The sequence below is a fragment of the Homo sapiens genome, chromosome 9 (genome assembly GCF_000001405.40).
Source record: "Homo sapiens chromosome 9, GRCh38.p14 Primary Assembly".
NCBI lineage: Eukaryota > Metazoa > Chordata > Mammalia > Primates > Hominidae > Homo > Homo sapiens.
In genome coordinates, this window is record NC_000009.12 from 77,357,451 (window position 1) to 77,374,911 (window position 17,461).

The window sequence follows — 17,461 nt, forward strand, 5'->3', positions numbered from 1 at the left end:
ATTTTTCCTTTATTCATTTTTATTGTGGTAAATTTTAGTACATTTATGTAAAAAGTAATGCAGTGAAGCTTTGTAAGAATTATATGAATATGTGAATTTTATGGACATGGGATATTAAGATCTAAATCTAAACTAATACAAATATGTAGCTTACTGTTTTAAAAAGTTTTTGGCATTAATTTCTAATTCTAGTCATTTATAGATAAATTAATTTTTTCATTTGGGGGGACATATTTTTCAGGTTCGCCTAACCCCTACTGGTCATAACATGAAAATTCTGCAGCCGCATGTAATAGCTCTACGAAGAAATTATCTTCCAGCATTAAAAGTGGAATATAACACATCTGCACATCAATCATCATTTAGAATTCAGATTTACAGAATACAGGTAAGTCTTTCTGAAAATATAGGCAAAATTGTATTCTAAAGGAATGCAATAAGAAACCAGATCTATTCCCATGGTCTGCTTTATCTAGTATTCAGTTTCAATGTTGTGCTAGCCTTTTTTTTTTTTTTTTTTTTTGAGACAGAGTCTCCCTCTGTCGCCCAGGCTAGAGTGCAGTGGCGGAATCTCAGCTCACTGCAAACCCTGCCTCCCAGGTTCAAGCGATTCTGCTGCCTCAGCCTCCTGAGTAGCTGGGATTACAGGTGCCCACCACCATGGCCACCTAATTTTTGTATTTTTAGTAGAGACGGGGTTTCACCATGTGGGCCAGGCTGGTCTCAAACTCCTGACCCCAGATGATCCACCCGCCTCGGCCTCCCAAAGTGCTGGGATTACAGGCGTGAGCCACCGTGCTTGGTCACCGCTAGACTTTTTGATTCTTTTTGTTCCTCAAATCCTGTTATTCTGGTCAGGTTGTATAATTGACATATTAATATACTGATGTGTTTTTATTTTCTTAGATCCAAAATCAGATACATGGTGCTGTATTTCCCTTTGTGTTTTATCCTGTTAAACCTCCAAAGTCGGTCACCATGGATTCAGGTTTGTTTTTATTTTTAGATTTCCATAAAAGCAGTTGTATTAGCTATTTGATTTACTTTACTATAAAAATATGAAGTGAAACCATTCTTGGGTTTAATTTTTATAGGATAATTGGAAAATTAAACTGCTTGAAAAAGGACCAGCAAGTACTATACACAACTAACTTTGATAAGATTTTGAGTGAATCTTGAAGAAAAGATTGATTAGAAACATATATTGAAATTTTTAGAAATACTAATTTAAAAAGCAGATAATCTGTAAACCTGCGATTTAAAAACCTTTAAAGCCTTTGAATGAACAATAAGGAAGTTCAAATCTAGAGTGTTTTCTAACAGCAGAAACTGTCCTATGTTCTCCAAATAAGAATAACGGACAAGTCCTTTCTACCCTTTTCTTTCCCTTTGCCTTTCTTGTTTCCTGCATATCCCTCTTCCCCCTACTTTCTCTTCCCTCCTCACTACCCTACTTAACTTTCTTCTCCCCTTGCTTTCCCACCTCCACCCCACACCACTTCTTCTAAACTATCCTGGGGGGAGTACTCTTTATAACTCGCTCAGAAGCTTTTTGGCCAGTATAATGCGTAAGCCCTTCCACCTAGAGGTCTGGAGCAAGTCCCCAGAATCTGTTTTCACAAAGTTTCCCTGATGATTCTAATGCATACTTCTAAACTGCTAATTGTAGAATTAGTTATCTTCAGAGTAACTATAGATAGTTTTAAAAACAATGCTAGAGTCTGAAATTAAGATTGTAGTAGATTTTGCCAATATCAGTAATTTTAACTGATATTTATTATTTAGTAAATGATTTAATTTTCCATTGTGGTGTATATTGGAAGAAAATGCCTAGCTTTTGCTTAAAGCATCATGGGAGTAATTATATTTATAACCTTTACAGCACCAAAGCCCTTTACAGATGTCAGTATTGTCATGAGATCTGCAGGACATTCCCAGATATCACGTATTAAGTAAGTGTCTTAATACATTTCTTGTATATTTATTTAATGTTTGATTTAAATATATGAATTGTTTGTACTCTTTAAATGTTGGACAAGTCAAAGATTTAAGCATAAAATATTAATTATAAACGTCAAATAAAAAAATATAATGTTGTGGCTCACGCCTGTAATGCCAGCACTTTGGGAGACCTAGACAGGCTGATCACTTGAGGTCGGGAGTTCGAGACCAACCTGGCCAACACGGTGAAACCCCAACTCTACTAAAAATACAAAAATTAGCCAGGCGTGGTGGCACGTGCCCAGAGTCCCAACTACTCAGGAGGCTGAGGCACGAGAATCGCTTGAACCCAGGAGGCAGAGCTTGCAGTTAGCTGAGATCACACCACTGCACTCCAGCCTGGGTGACAGAGCAAGACTGTCTCAAAAAAAAAAAAAAAAAGGCGGCTCTGGATGAAATACATCTAGGTATTTATAATCATTGTTTCTGGATTTTGGATATTTTATTATTCTCTTGTACTTGTATTTGTTTTTTGTTTGGGGTTGTCTATAATCATATATTGTTTTGAAAAAGGAAAACAATAATATTTTCGTCTTCACTCACTACCCATTCCAAGAAACAGAAGATGGACTGAAACATCTATGTAATAATCTCCTGTCTAATTTCCCTTACCTTGTCACCAAGATAACCTATCTTTATTTCCTTGCTGTTTAAAATATAGTTTTATTGTTCATGTGTACCTAAACATTATGCCTTTTAGTTTTAATTTTTTTCTAATTTTTAGAAAATTGTTTCAGGCCGGAAATAGATGTTGGGACTTGCTTTTGTTCATTCAACATTTTTATTAAAATTTATTCATTTTGTTGTATGTAGCCATAGTTTATTCATTATCACTAATATATAATATTCTGTTTTATGACTCTGTATGACAGTTTACTTATCTGGTTCCTCTTTATGGCCATTTTCATATTTTGACTTTGTTGCTGTTATTAACAGTGTTCCATGATTTTTTAAAATTTAGTCAACTAAATAGTCCTAAGTTTCAAAGTTCTAATATTGATCTCATACTTTTTTCTCATCTAATTTTTGTAATACAGTTGTTAATTGATGATTTTTAAAAAATGTTTTCTACTTTGTAATACAGGTATTTCAAAGTATTGATTCAAGAAATGGATCTCAGGTTAGATCTTGGGTTTATCTATGCTTTAACAGACCTTATGACAGAAGCTGAGGTGACTGAAAATACAGAGGTAAGACTTAAAATAATAACATTTGATGGAAAGGATTAGGGAAAAGATATTATTATAAATTTTTAAAGGTATTAAAATGACTTTGTTGCATTTTAAAAATACAATTAAATAAATTTTATTACTCTCTTGTGGTACATACCTTTTTAGAAATCTTATTTTCTGATGATAGAAAATTAGCAAACAGGAGGAAAGGCTTGGGGTGAATAGCAGGGAGAAAAGGATAATTTGTCATGTTCACATCACTTTTTTCCTCTTTTATTTTCCTGGATTACTTTGGCTTTGCTTTCACTTTAATAATTTAGAAATTTAGGGTATGTCCAGGATATTTAATGGGAGAAAGGATAGGAAAATTAAAAGGTGGTATCATCTGGGTGACTGGAAGACCATAAAATCATAGTTATAAAGTGGGTCAGATATAGTCTGTTTTTCACTTGCCCTCATAGATTCATGGATGGAGAAAGAGCAAATTAGTAACAGTCTATTGAGGTATAGATCACATACCATACATTTCACCCATTTAAAAGATAGGGTTCAATGACTTTTAATGTATTCACAAAGTTGTACAATCATCATCACTCTCTAATTCCGGAACATTTTCATCATCCCCAAAAGGAACTGCCTGTGCAGCCACTGATACACTTTGTGTCTTTAGGTTTGCCTATTCTGAATATTTCATACAAATAGAATCATACACTGTGTAGTCTTTTGTGAAGGGCTTCTTTGACTTAGAATAATGCTTTCAAGGTGCATCTATGTTGTAGCATGTATCAGTACTTCATTCCTTTTTATGGTTAAGTGATATTCCATTATATGGATGGGCCACATTTTGTTTATCCATATATCTGTTAATGGACGTTTGGGTTGTTTACACATTTTGGCTTTTATGGATAATGTAATGAATACTGGTGTACAAGTTTTTATTGGACAAAAACTTTATTAAAAGTCTTAAACTATTTAAACTTAATCACCATGTGATTAAGCAATTCCAATCCTAGGTATATAGCCAAAAGAAATAAAATTTTATTAGAAGTGGAATTGCTCAATCACATAGTAACCTTATATTTAATCATTTGGGACTGTTAGGCAGTTGTGCAAAGTGCCTCCACCATTTTACATTCTTACCAGAGCATATGAGGGCTCTGATTTTTCCATATTATCCCCAACACTTGTTACTATCTGTCTTTGATTCTAGCAATCATAATGGGTGAATGTGAAATAGTTTGTCATTGTGGTTTTGACATGTAATTACCTGATGACTAATGATGTTGAGCATCTTTGATATGTTGATTATCCTTTAATATGTTAAGTAGTTAATTTGCATATCTTATGTGAAGAAATGTCCATTCAGATCCTTTGCTTATTATTTAATGAGTTATTTGTCTTTTTTCTTATAAAAGTTATTTGCATATTCTCGATACAGGTCTCTTATCAGATACATAATTTTCAAATATTTTCTCTCATTCTGTGTGTTGCTTTTTCACTTTCTTGATGTTGTCTATTGAAAATCAAAAGTTAAAGTTAATGAAGTTCAAATTATTTTTTATTTTGTTGCTCATGCTTTTGGTGTCATTTCTAAGAATCCTTAGCCAAATCCAAGGTCATGAATATCTTACGTTTTACGAATTTTAAAGATCTAGCTCTTATGATTAGGTCTTTGATCAATTTTTAGTTCATTTTTGTATATGATGTATAAGGATCCAAATTATTCTTTGGCATGTTGCTATCCAGTTGTCCTATTACCATTTCTTTAAAAGACTATTTGTTCTTTGAATGGTCTTGACACCCTAGTTGAAAATCAGTTAACAACACACATGTGATTTTATTCCGTCGATCTGTGCATCTGCCCTTGTGCATTGCACACTGTCTTAGTTATTGTTTTGTATTAAGTTTTGAAATTGGGACATATGTATCTTCCTACTTTGTCCTTCTTTTTCAAGATGGGTTTGGCTGTTCTGAGTCCTTTGAAATTTCATATGAATTTTAGAATCAACTTGTCAGGTTCTTCAAAGAAGTCAGCTGGACATCTGATAGAGACTGCATTGAATCTGTAAATCAATTTGGGAAGTATTGCCATCCTAACAGTATTAGGTCTTTCAGTCCTTGCACATGACATGTTTATCCATTTATGTAGATTTTTAATTTTTTTTAACAATGTTTTGTTGTTTTTCAGAGTGTAAGTTTTACACATTTTTCATTAAATTTATTCCTATGTATTATATTCTTCTTATAGTATTATGAATAAAATTGATTTTTTAATTCCATTTTTGGATTGTTCATTGCTACTGTATAAAAATGCAGTTGATTTTTTTATACTGATCTTGTATTTTGCACCCCTACTGAATTGTTAGCTCTATTTGTTGTTCCGTATATTCTTTTGGGATTTCTATACATAAGATCGTGTCATCTGAGAGGAGAGGTAGTTTTACTTCATTCTTTCTGATCTGAATGCCTTTGTTTCTTCTTCTTCCCTAGTTGTTGTGTCTAGAAATTGGTGACACATTAAACAGAAGTGCCAAGAGCAGACATTCTTCTTTTGCCTCTGATCTTGGAGGGTAAATTTTCAGTCTTTGAGTATGATATTGACCCTGGGTTTTTCCTAGACATCCTTTTTCAGGTTGAGGAAGTTCTTTTCTTAGTTGGTTGAGTGTTTTTAATCATGATTATATATTTTGTCATTCTTTTTCTGCATCTATGGAAATGATTGTACACTTTTTGGGTTTTGTTCTACTGATATGTTTTATTACATTAATTTTTTTTTTTTTATTTTTTTTTTTTTTTGAGACCTAGGCTCGCTCTGTCTCCCAGGCTGGAGTGCAATGCTGCAAAAGCAATCTCAGCTCACTACAACCTCCGCCTCGTGGGTTTGTGCAATTCTCGTTTTTCAGCCTCCCTCCCGAGTAGCTGGGATTACAGGCGTGTGCCAAAATGCCCAGCTAATTTTTGTAATTTTAGTAGAGACAGGGTTTCACCATGTTTCTGTGTTTTTTTGTTCTGACCTCAGGAAAACTCCTATTTGTCACTTTCTCTGATTTTCTCCTGCAAACTATTAGGTCTACAGGTTAGCCAGTATCTTCTGTAAATCAATGACTTTCCTTTTAGTTGTCTTTCACCACATCTGCTGTTTCTGAGAGCCCTTAGGCTCGAACTGCACTATATGTTATAAGTGAAATTAGTTCCTTTGGGAAGAGATTAATAGTTACCTGTTTTAAAACCTACTTTCCCCATCAGCAAAAATCCCTAAACCAGGCCTCTGAAGCTGGCGGTGGGAACAGTTGTGACACCCTTCTATTTGAGTAACACCCCAGTTTAGGAGCTGAGCACTATGTGTGGTGGGGTAAGAGGGGCAGTGGCCTGAGATGATCTCAGCTTGCCTTTGCTGGCATGGAACCACCACATTACAGGCCTGGGCAAGAGTGATCAGAACTCTAGTATTCTCAGTGGTACTGTACCCAAGGCAGAGCTTTTTTACCCTGCACAGAGGCTGGACAGAGAAAGGAAGCCCTGCCAAGTACGGTGGCTCACGCCTGTAATCCCAGCACTTTGGGAGGCCAAGGTGGGTAGATCACTTGAGGTCAGGAGTTCGAGACCACCCTGGCAACATAGTGAAACCCCATCTCTACTAAAAATACAAAAATTAGCCAGGCGTGTTGGCAGGTGCCTGTAATCCCAGCTACTCAGGAGGCTGAGGCAGGAGAATTGCTTGAACCCAGGAGGCACAAGTTGCAGTGAGCCGAGATCGCGCCACTGCACTCCAGCCTAGGTGACCAGAGCGAGACTCCGTCTCGAAAAAAACAAACAAACAAAAAAAAACCCATAAAGGAAGCCCCCGCCTCACAGTTGCACTCAACCATAACTTAACCTCAGCAGCAGGTAGCTGGGAACAGGATGAGAAATGCTGACGTCCTGTTCTTCCCAGGAAGGAAGTCCTCCAATTGAGGACTGGGCCAAGAAGGAGCTCTGTGTTCTTGGGTATACTAGTCTAGAGTAGAATTCTGGCTCATTAGTCTGGGAGAGGGGACAGAGGGAATGGCCTTTGTTAAAACACCACGGATTCGCTTTTCTTACCAAATTCTTTAGGTTTTCTTAAATAGATGTTTCTTCATTTGCTTATGACCTTAAAACCATTCCTAGAGGCCTTAAATTTGTTGTTGTTGTTGTTTAAATTTTATCAGTTTAGCTGGGGTGCTGGTTTGAAGAGCTTCCCACTGTCATTTCAGAAATTGATTTCTAAATATACTTTTTATAAGGCTATCATTTCTTATGTTTTTATGAATATGTTAAAATGTGAATCTTGGGGCTCATTTTTCAACACATAGAAGTTACTTCCGTCTGAGCATTTAAAGGAGAAGTATTGATGAATATCAAGAATGAAACCACCAATCAATTAATGCAAAATTGTTTTCAACACCTTCTTTATTTTATTATATTACTGATCTGTGTAGGATGCATTAAAGCAATTACAAGTAGACTACAAAATACAAGTTGACTGTATGATTATGTTTAAAGAAACAAATATACCCAAGAGAGTGTTGATGGTATGGATTAATGTCATTTTGGGATAAGATTTATAGTCACATGGAGAAAAGCTTAGTGTCTTTTAATGGTTTGGATAGAAATATAGAAGATAATGCTTGTTGGTTTGTCAGTGGCAGACAGAACTGTCCTATAGATAGAGATGTTACTTTCCCTTCTGAGGCAATCATAAGCAATGTTGAGTCTGGATCTTATAGAAGAGTTTTGGCAGTGTGTCTTCTATTTGCTTAAATATCTCATGCAGGTAGGTCCCTTTAGTTTTAATATTTTGTGTTCCTTTTATAGGTTGAGCTTTTTCATAAAGATATAGAAGCTTTCAAAGAAGAATATAAAACAGCCTCATTAGTAGATCAATCACAAGTCAGCCTCTATGAATATTTTCATATATCTCCTATCAAGGTAGGAGAAAGTCATTTTTATTGTCCTTGATAATCTAGGTAATAGCAAATTGATGTAGCATTTATATTGTGTTCTTCAGTAATATATAAAATCTGTAAATATACAATTAAACTAAGTAACAAAGGAATTACCCTTTTACATTTTTATTTATTTTTAAATAACTTTTTATCATGTGGAGCCACCTATAGCATGTATTTATGTTTATAATTTGACCTAACATTATTTTACCTTGATTTTCTGTTAAGCTGTTAGGTGACAATTTTCAAAATTTTGCATATGATGATTTGTGTATTAGTTTTAAAGTAATTTATAAAGTAGCCTTAAGAACTGAAGACTGAATGGTATCAAATCTAAGTTAGTTTTTAGTGCAAAATTCCTATAAGCTAATTATACAATAATAGAAGAAAATTACTAAACAACCATATATGTAGAGTATATATGCAATACAATACAAAAGTGTTTTTTAACTGGCTATTAACTTCTGAAATAATTGAAACATATACTTTTGGAGATACAAATACCTTTCAGCTTATGACAGAGTTACATCTCAGTAAAGCCATCATGAGTTGAAAATCTTGTAAGTCAGAAATGCATTGAATACACCTAACCTACTGAACATTAAAGCTTAGCCTAGCCTGTCTTAAACATGCTCAAAACAGCTGGGCAAAATCATCTAACACAATGCCTATTTTCTAATAAAGTTATTATAAAGAATTTTGAATCAAAATTCAAAGTACAGTTTCCACTGAAGGTGTATTGCTTTTGCAGCATTGTAAAGTTGAAAAATCATAAGTGAAACATAAGTCATATAAGTTGGGGACCATATGTATTTGAGTCATTTTCAACAGCTTCAACTTTTAGATTTTTAATGTTATTAACAAATATATAAAAATTAATATTTTCTTAGGTTTGCCAAAAGAATGGGATAGGATTAAATATCATGCTATCTTAAATTGTTGAATTGAAGATTTAAATAGAGCTATGTTAGATTTTAAATTTCTTCATATTTCTACTTAGTGATTTTAACATAATCCAGATAACTTTGAAATCTTATTTATGGTGTAGTGAATTTAAAATTAAACTGATTTTTTAAGAGTTAAAATTGTCAATATGAAGAAAATACTTTTAAATATTTATCTCTTTATCTTTTTAGTTACATTTAAGTGTTTCACTGAGTTCCGGCAGAGAAGAAGCTAAAGATTCAAAACAAAATGGAGGACTGATTCCAGTTCATTCTTTAAATCTTTTGCTGAAGAGTATTGGTGCCACACTGACAGATGTACAAGATGTAGTTTTTAAGTATGTTTAGTATTCAAATCTGTAAATTGATGGAAATATTTCTATTTTATATGTCCCTAAAAATTTCGTAAATGAAAAAGTGTGTGAAGTACGTTGCAGATCATAGGCAAAATGAGGTTTTTGCATTCAAGTGAAGTGCAATCTGAATAACACCAACGTATGATTTGCTAACCCCTAATTGCTAAATTACAGAATTATTAAACAATTTCCTTAAGAAAAAGAGTCATAGGCCATGCAAGTTTCACATTTTAAAAGATCTTTCTGGCTTAGGGAAGGATAGGATGTGTATGCCCAAAGATATGGTGCCTGAAATGTATGGATTTGAAGCTAATAGGAATAAGACTCTTCAAAGCATTTGCAACTAGAACAGAATGAATGCGATAATAGGGGAAATGAAAGGATCAACTTTAAGTGTTGTAATCAGGAATTTATATTTTAATATGAGTCATAATGAAGCTTATAGAGTATCTGACCAAAGAGATTCAGAATGTCTGAGTTGAGACTTTAGAAGAGAATAACCCTTTCAAGTAGCATCTAGAATTGATTATTAAGAACAGTCGTAAGAATCAATAAGTCCAACACGAGGTAACACTGAACCTGAAGTTAGGTAAGTGTCAAATAAAAGTACACAGGTATGATGTTAGCAGAAATAGTATTCTACTTAGCAACAAGAAGCATAGAGCTTTTCAGTTACTGTATCAGGTATATGCTATGGATGGGTTATAAGTAAGCTAATCTTAGTATATATTCTGTGAATGGAGTTATAAGTAAGCAGGCAAAACCTGCTGCAGCTGAACCTGGCCATTCGTGAGCAACCTCTTTATCAGTGTGTCAGACATTTTCTATGTGGGCCATGATAGGACAGAATTGGGAAATAAAGTTCTAGTGGTACATGAATGGGATTCACAGGATCTCAGAACTCTCGAATTTACATGAAAATTTATGTGTACTGGTGACTTGTCTGAAGATAAGATCCATGTCTTTTATCAGATTCTTAGAAGGTTCTTTGATTAGGATATGCAGAGATGTATGTAAAAAGTAAATTTCCTGATTGGCATGGGAAAATGTACTAGAAGGAAAGGTTTGGAGAAAAGATTCTAAAGAAAATAAAGCCACTCATTAATATTAAAAATACTTTCTTCATACACATGTACAGACAATATATTTTTACGCTTTTTTCAGGCTTGCATTTTTTGAACTCAACTATCAGTTCCATACAACATCCGATCTACAGTCTGAAGTCATAAGACACTATTCAAAACAGGTTTGTCTAAGATTATATTACAGAGGGACAGAGTGATACAGACTGGTAAAACCTTTTGTGTCTATACATATATAATGTGGAACTATTGAGGAACTAAATAGCCATTTTCAAATTATTAAAGCATGGGTATTTTCCTCAGAATTATAAAAAGAAATTAAGCTCAATCACTATTTGAATTTTTTGTCCTTATATTTTTTAGCCACTGAGAGAAATTTTTTGTGGATCAGCAGGACTGGAAATAAATAAATCTTTAAATAAAATATTAACTAATTTATCACACTTAATTAAAAAATGGGTTCATGGAAACTATTAGTAACTAACTGATGAACACGGGATATTTTTAGTGTAACTAGTTGTTAAGTCAGCCAGATGTATTTTTTTAACAGATGTTTTTCCACTTCTAGAGAGACTCTTGGGTTTTAGGATATAACTTAGAGTATCTGATATAGCTGTGGTATGACAGATCACTGAGCATGACTCAGGAGATTTGGATTTCTCCCACTTTTGCCATATACCCACTATGTGACCCTGAGTATCATCTGACTTATATGTTTCTCCAATCTATAAAACGGTGGTGGTAATGACAGTGGTCACAGATAATTGTAAAAGTGAAAGTATTTTAAATATTCTAGAGCTTTACATGAATATAATGTCATATTATTTTTAATACTATAATACCAAATTACTTTTTAAAAGCTAAGAATAGCGATCAATAAGCCTGGCATGGTGGCTAACGCCTGTAATCCCAACACTTTGGGAGGCTGAGGCTGGTGGATCACTTGAGGCCAGGAGTTCGAGACCACCCTGGCCAACATGGCGAAACCCCATCTCTACTAAAATCACAAAAATTAGCCAGGCATGGTGGTGCATGCCTGTAGTCCCAGCTTGGGAGGAGGAGGCACAATAATTGCTTGAACCCGTGAGGCAGAGGTTGCAGTGAGCCGAGATGGCGCCACCGCATTCCAGCCTGGGCAACAGAGCAGGACTGTCTCAAAAAGAAAAAGAAAAAAAAGAGTAGTGATTAATAAAATGAGATGGTTTAGGAGTTGAAATTGGCATTAAAGGTGTTGGCCTGAGAAAACTGGGCGTGTGTTTTAAATAATGTATAAGAAAAAATAGATCTAATTATCTGAATTGATTAATGTTCATATTTTATTTTTAGGCCATTAAGCAGATGTATGTACTCATTCTTGGACTTGATGTTTTGGGAAATCCATTTGGCTTAATTAGAGAATTTTCTGAAGGTGTAGAAGCATTTTTTTATGAACCTTACCAGGTAAAATAGTTATTTTTGTGGTTGTGCAATATGTCACTAATACTTTTGAATAGATAATACTTTTCTATTGTTAAGTTGAGTTAATAAGTGCAAACAGATTTTGGAACACACACAAAAGGACATCATTTTGCAGCAAACAATGGTAAGAGGTTTTGGGGGACATTTTTACCCTTTTCCTCAAAATTTAAACTTAAGATTTTGTTAAGCTACGCTGAATTGTAAGTGTTCTCTTGGAATATAAAAGGTGGATAAAGTAGAAAGAAGATCACCACATCTTGCTTTGCACAGTAGTGTGGAACTATAAAAATAATCATGCAAACTGACACCTGGCCAAGCAATCTTAAAAATCAGTGGGAAAAATTATGATTGTTCTATGTCCTTTAAAACTTTTTCCCAAAAGACTCCTACTTCCACGTATAAATGTATAGGGAAATAAAAAATAAAGTTAACATTAATTTTGCACATTGTAATTAAAAACATTAAAAGCATTAAGAATTTTAAAGTGTTTATTTGAAATTTTTATTAAAGACTTATCAAGAGTAGTTTGAACTGTGCTTGCATTTTGCTCATAAACTTACAATATGGACCAAGCACCTTTCTGTACTTTGGTGAGTTGCCGTACTCCTTTCTAAGGGTCAGCGTCTAACATTATATCCTTCACACTTTCAGCGTCCAGAAATATCCCTAGGAATTCTTTTAATGTGAAACTTTTTGCTGATATTACTTCCTCTGGGACAACATTATCCATTTTTGTTACTACCTCTTTCGTCGTATATATCCGTAAGCTCATCTTTAAAAGTGAATATAACTCACTCACTCATTTATTTACTATTTGGCCCTTTAGGGAGCCATCCAGGGTCCTGAAGAGTTTGTGGAAGGAATGGCACTAGGACTTAAGGCACTAGTTGGTGGAGCTGTTGGTAAGAAACAGAATATCTACCAAGTATTTTTGTGCTAGAAAGTAATGGCATCATTACTTTTACTAAAGATAATTTCTGTCAGGTGGATTGGCTGGTGCTGCCTCCAAAATCACCGGTGCTATGGCTAAGGGGGTAGCAGCTATGACCATGGATGAAGACTACCAACAGAAGAGAAGAGAAGCCATGAATAAGCAACCAGCTGGTTTTAGAGAAGGCATCACTCGTGGAGGAAAAGGCTTAGTTTCTGTAAGAAATTTCACAGGGTTGTGAAGATTTTGGGAAATATCTTTTAAACAAACCTACATTTGCGAATAAGGAAATAGACATGATTCTCACTCCTTAAATTATTATTTGGATATTTTAAGAGCAGTGGGTGGTAGCATATAAAACATGTCAGTAGCCTCTAAAACATTCTGTTTAAATAAAATACTTAGGAGATCTGTTAATTCTTATGCTATATAAAAAGCAGAACTCTGTATTTTTTGTGTAATCCAAACTTGGTTCTTCTAGGCATCATAAAAAAGTATTGTAAATTTTCAGTTGTGTTTTCCTTCTAGGGATTTGTTAGTGGCATAACAGGAATTGTTACAAAACCAATCAAAGGCAAGTATAGTAGTTCCTTTGCAAGTCTTTCTAAGTTGATTCTGTTTTCATTCTTGGATGCAATTGTCAAAAACTCTTTTTTCTTTCCAGGAGCTCAAAAAGGAGGAGCAGCTGGTTTCTTTAAAGGTGTTGGGAAAGGTTTAGTAGGAGCGGTAGCAAGGCCAACTGGAGGCATCATAGACATGGCTAGCAGTACATTTCAGGGAATAAAAAGGTAAATCCTCTTTGGTGTAAGATATGAGTTAAAATGCTGAAGCCATGAGAAATGGAATTTATCTGCTCTTTGGCTTCAGGCATTTAGTTATTGTCTTTGTTTTGTGCTGCTATAACATACCACATAATACCACAGACTGGGTAATTTATAATGAACAGAAATTTATTGGCTCACGGTTCTGAAAGTTAAGAAGTCCAAGATTGAGAGGCAACATCTGGCTAGGGCCTTTTTGCGGTGTCATCCCATGGCAGAAGGACAAAAAGAGGGCAAGAGAAGAAAAAAGGGAACCAAAGTCACCCTTTTATAAGGAACCCACTCCCACAGCAACAGTATTAATGCATTCATGGGGGCAGATCCTCATGGCCTAATTACCTCTAATTAGGCCCCACCTCCTGGCTGGGGATAAAGTTTCCAACACATGCTCTTGGAGGGACACATTCAAACCATAGCAGTTACCAGCACTACAATATGGCAGGTTGCATATGGTCTTCCTAATTCATTTTGATTTTTTTTTTTTATTATTATACTTTAAGTTTTAGGGTACATGTGCACATTGCGCAGGTTAGTTACATATGTATACATGTGCCATGCTGGTGCGCTGCACCCACTAACTCGTCATCTAGCATTAGGTATATCTCCCAATGCTATCCCTCCCCCCTCCCCCCTCCCCCCACCCCACCTGTGATATTCCCCTTCCTGTGTCCATGTGATCTCATTGTTCAGTTCCCACCTATGAGTGAGAATATGCGGTGTTTGGTTTTTTGTTCTTGCGATAGTTTACTGAGAATGATGATTTCCAATTTCATCCATGTCCCTACAAAGGACATGAACTCATCATTTTTTATGGCTGCATAGTATTCCATGGTGTATATGTGCCACGTTTTCTTAATCCAGTCTATCATTGTTGGACATTTGGGTTGGTTCCAAGTCTTTGCTATTGTGAATAATGCCGCAATAAACATACGTGTGCGTGTGTCTTTATAGCAGCATGATTTATAGTCCTTTGGGTATATACCCAGTAATGGGATGGCTGGGTCAAATGGTATTTCCAGTTCTAGATCCCTGAGGAATCGCCACACTGACTTCCACAATGGTTGAACTAGTTTACAGTCCCACCAACAGTGTAAAAGTTTTCCTATTTCTCCACATCCTCTCCAGCACCTGTTGTTTCCTGACTTTTTAATGATTGCCATTCTAACTGGTGTGAGATGGTATCTCATAGTGGTTTTGATTTGCATTTCTCGGATGGCCAGTGATGATTAGCATTTTTGACAAAATTCAACAACCCTTCATGCTAAAAACTCTCAATAAATTAGGTATTGATGGGACGTATTTCAAAATAATAAGAGCTATCTATGACAAACCCACAGCCAATATCATACTAAATGGGCAAAAACTGGAAGCATTCCCTTTGAAAACTGGCACAAGACAGGGATGCCCTCTCTCACCACTCCTATTCAACATAGTGTCGGAAGTTCTGGCCAGGGCAATTAGGCAGGAGAAGGAAATAAAGGGTATTCAGTTAGGAAAAGAGGAAGTCAAATTGTCCCTGTTTGCAGACGACATGATTGTATATCTAGAAAACCCCACTGTCTCAGCCCAAAATCTCCTTAAGCTAAGAAGCAACTTCAGCAAAGTCTTAGGATACAAAATCAATGTACAAAAATCACAAGCATTCTTATACACCAACAACAGACAAACAGAGAGCCAAATCATAAGTGAACTCCCATTCACAATTGCTTCAAAGAGAATAAAATACCTAGGAATCCAACTTACAAGGGATGTGAAGGACCTCTTCAAGGAGAACTACAAACCACTGCTCAAGGAAATAAAAGAGGATACAAACGAATGGAAGAACATTCCATGCTCATGGGTAGGAAGAATCAATATCGTGAAAATGGCCATACTGCCCAAGGTAATTTACAGATTCAGTGCTATCCCCATCAAGCTACCAATGACTTTCTTCACAGAATTGGAAAAAACTACTTTAAAGTTCATATGGAACCAAAAAAGAGCCCGCATCGCCAAGGCAATCCTAAGCCAAAAGAACGAAGCTGGAGGCATCACACTACCTGACTTCAAACTATACTACAAGGCTACAGTAACCAAAAGAGCATGGTACTGGTACCAAAACAGAGATATACATCAATGGAACAGAACAGAGCCCTCAGAAATAACGCCGCATATCTACAACTATCTGATCTTTGACAAACCTGACAAAAACAAGCAATGGGGAAAGGATTCCCTATTTAATAAATGGTGCTGGGAAAACTAGCTAGCCATATGTAGAAAGCTGAAACTGGATCCCTTCCTTACACCTTATACAAAAATCAATTCAAGATGGATTAAAGACTTAAACGTTAGACCTAAAACCATAAAAACCCTAGAAGAAAACCTAGGCATTACCATTCAGGACATAGGCATGGGCAAGGACTTCATGTCCAAAACACCAAAAACAATGGCAACAAAAGCCAAAATTGACAAATGGGATCTAATTAAACTAAAGAGCTTCTGCACAGCAAAAGAAACTACCATCAGAGTGGACAGGCAACCTACAAAATGGGAGAAAATTTTCGCAACCTACTCATCTGACAAAGGGCTAATATCCAGAATCTACAATGAACTCAAACAAATTTACAAGAAAAAAACAAACAACCCCATCAAAAAGTGGGCGAAGGACATGAACAGACACTTCTCAAAAGAAGACATTTATGCAGCCAAAAAACTCATTTTGATATTTTTTAAGTTGCTGCCATTGCATTGTTTCAACTTTATGAAGTTCCCCTTTATTTTTCATTCATTCCTAGCAGGCTTGCAGGAGCAGTTTGGCAAGTTAAGCAAGCTTTTCAGTTATCTTAGTTTAAATACATTAATGCTATATATCAATTATAAAATTAGCAAATATAATCTGTATCCTTTTTATGAAATGAAGAATGGCATTTTGTATTTCTTGGTTCAAACTCAGTTTGTCTTCACCCTTCCTTTATTATCTTATTTTGTTATAAGTTGTTATAGTAGTCCCTCTTGATCTGCAGGGATCTGCAGTGGATGCCTGAAACCTTGGACAGTACTTAGCCCTATATATACTGTGTTTTCTCCTGTACATACATATCCGTGATGAAGTTTAATTTTAAATTAGGCTCAGTAAGATATTAACAATAATAATAAAATAAGACAATTATAACAATATACTGTAATGAAAGTAAAATAAACGTTACTTGAACACAAGCACTGTAATACCGCAATAGTCAGGATGATAACTGAGACAGCTACTATGTCACTAATGGACTGGTGATGTATAAAGCATGGATATGCTGGACAGAGGGATGATTCATATCCCAGGAAGGACAAAGCAGGGTGGCAAGAAATTTTATCATACTACTCAGAATGGCATGCAATTTAAAATGTAGGGATTGTTTATTTCTGGAATTTTCCATTTAATATTTTTGGACCACAGTTGACTGTGGATAACTGACACTGCAGAAAGCAGAACTGTGGATAAGCGGATACTAGTGTATATGCATATCCTTTCTCTTCCTTTATGCAGGTAATTTTAATACACATTGTTTTTTACTCCAAATGAAATTTAGTGTAAGGGTGAAATTTAGTAGTTTCTTTATTGTTACCTGTGTCTTAGAAATTTGTAACACATATAACAGATGATAAAATTAATGTTAATTAGACCCATCTTAGAAAGTTAGGTGGGTGGCTGTCTTCCTAATCTTTTTCCTTTGTGTTTTCTCTTGCTTTCTGCTCTATAGG

The 17,461-nt window shown here is 35.2% G+C and overlaps 1 protein-coding gene across 4 annotated transcripts in view; it reads left to right on the top strand.

Moving 5' to 3' along the window:
- Nucleotides 1-17,461, top strand: part of VPS13A (vacuolar protein sorting 13 homolog A) — a 244,004-nt gene that overhangs the window by 179,917 nt on the left and 46,626 nt on the right. For all 4 annotated transcript variants that reach the window (NM_033305.3, NM_001018037.2, NM_015186.4 and 1 more), the window contains 12 exons: nucleotides 242-388; nucleotides 907-988; nucleotides 1,883-1,952; nucleotides 3,086-3,191; nucleotides 8,010-8,123; nucleotides 9,277-9,422; nucleotides 10,605-10,686; nucleotides 11,849-11,962; nucleotides 12,807-12,882; nucleotides 12,965-13,128; nucleotides 13,440-13,485; nucleotides 13,576-13,699. In NM_033305.3, the coding sequence (NP_150648.2) occupies nucleotides 242-388; nucleotides 907-988; nucleotides 1,883-1,952; nucleotides 3,086-3,191; nucleotides 8,010-8,123; nucleotides 9,277-9,422; nucleotides 10,605-10,686; nucleotides 11,849-11,962; nucleotides 12,807-12,882; nucleotides 12,965-13,128; nucleotides 13,440-13,485; nucleotides 13,576-13,699 (1,271 nt within the window). The remainder of the gene's footprint in view (nucleotides 1-241; nucleotides 389-906; nucleotides 989-1,882; nucleotides 1,953-3,085; nucleotides 3,192-8,009; nucleotides 8,124-9,276; nucleotides 9,423-10,604; nucleotides 10,687-11,848; nucleotides 11,963-12,806; nucleotides 12,883-12,964; nucleotides 13,129-13,439; nucleotides 13,486-13,575; nucleotides 13,700-17,461) is intronic.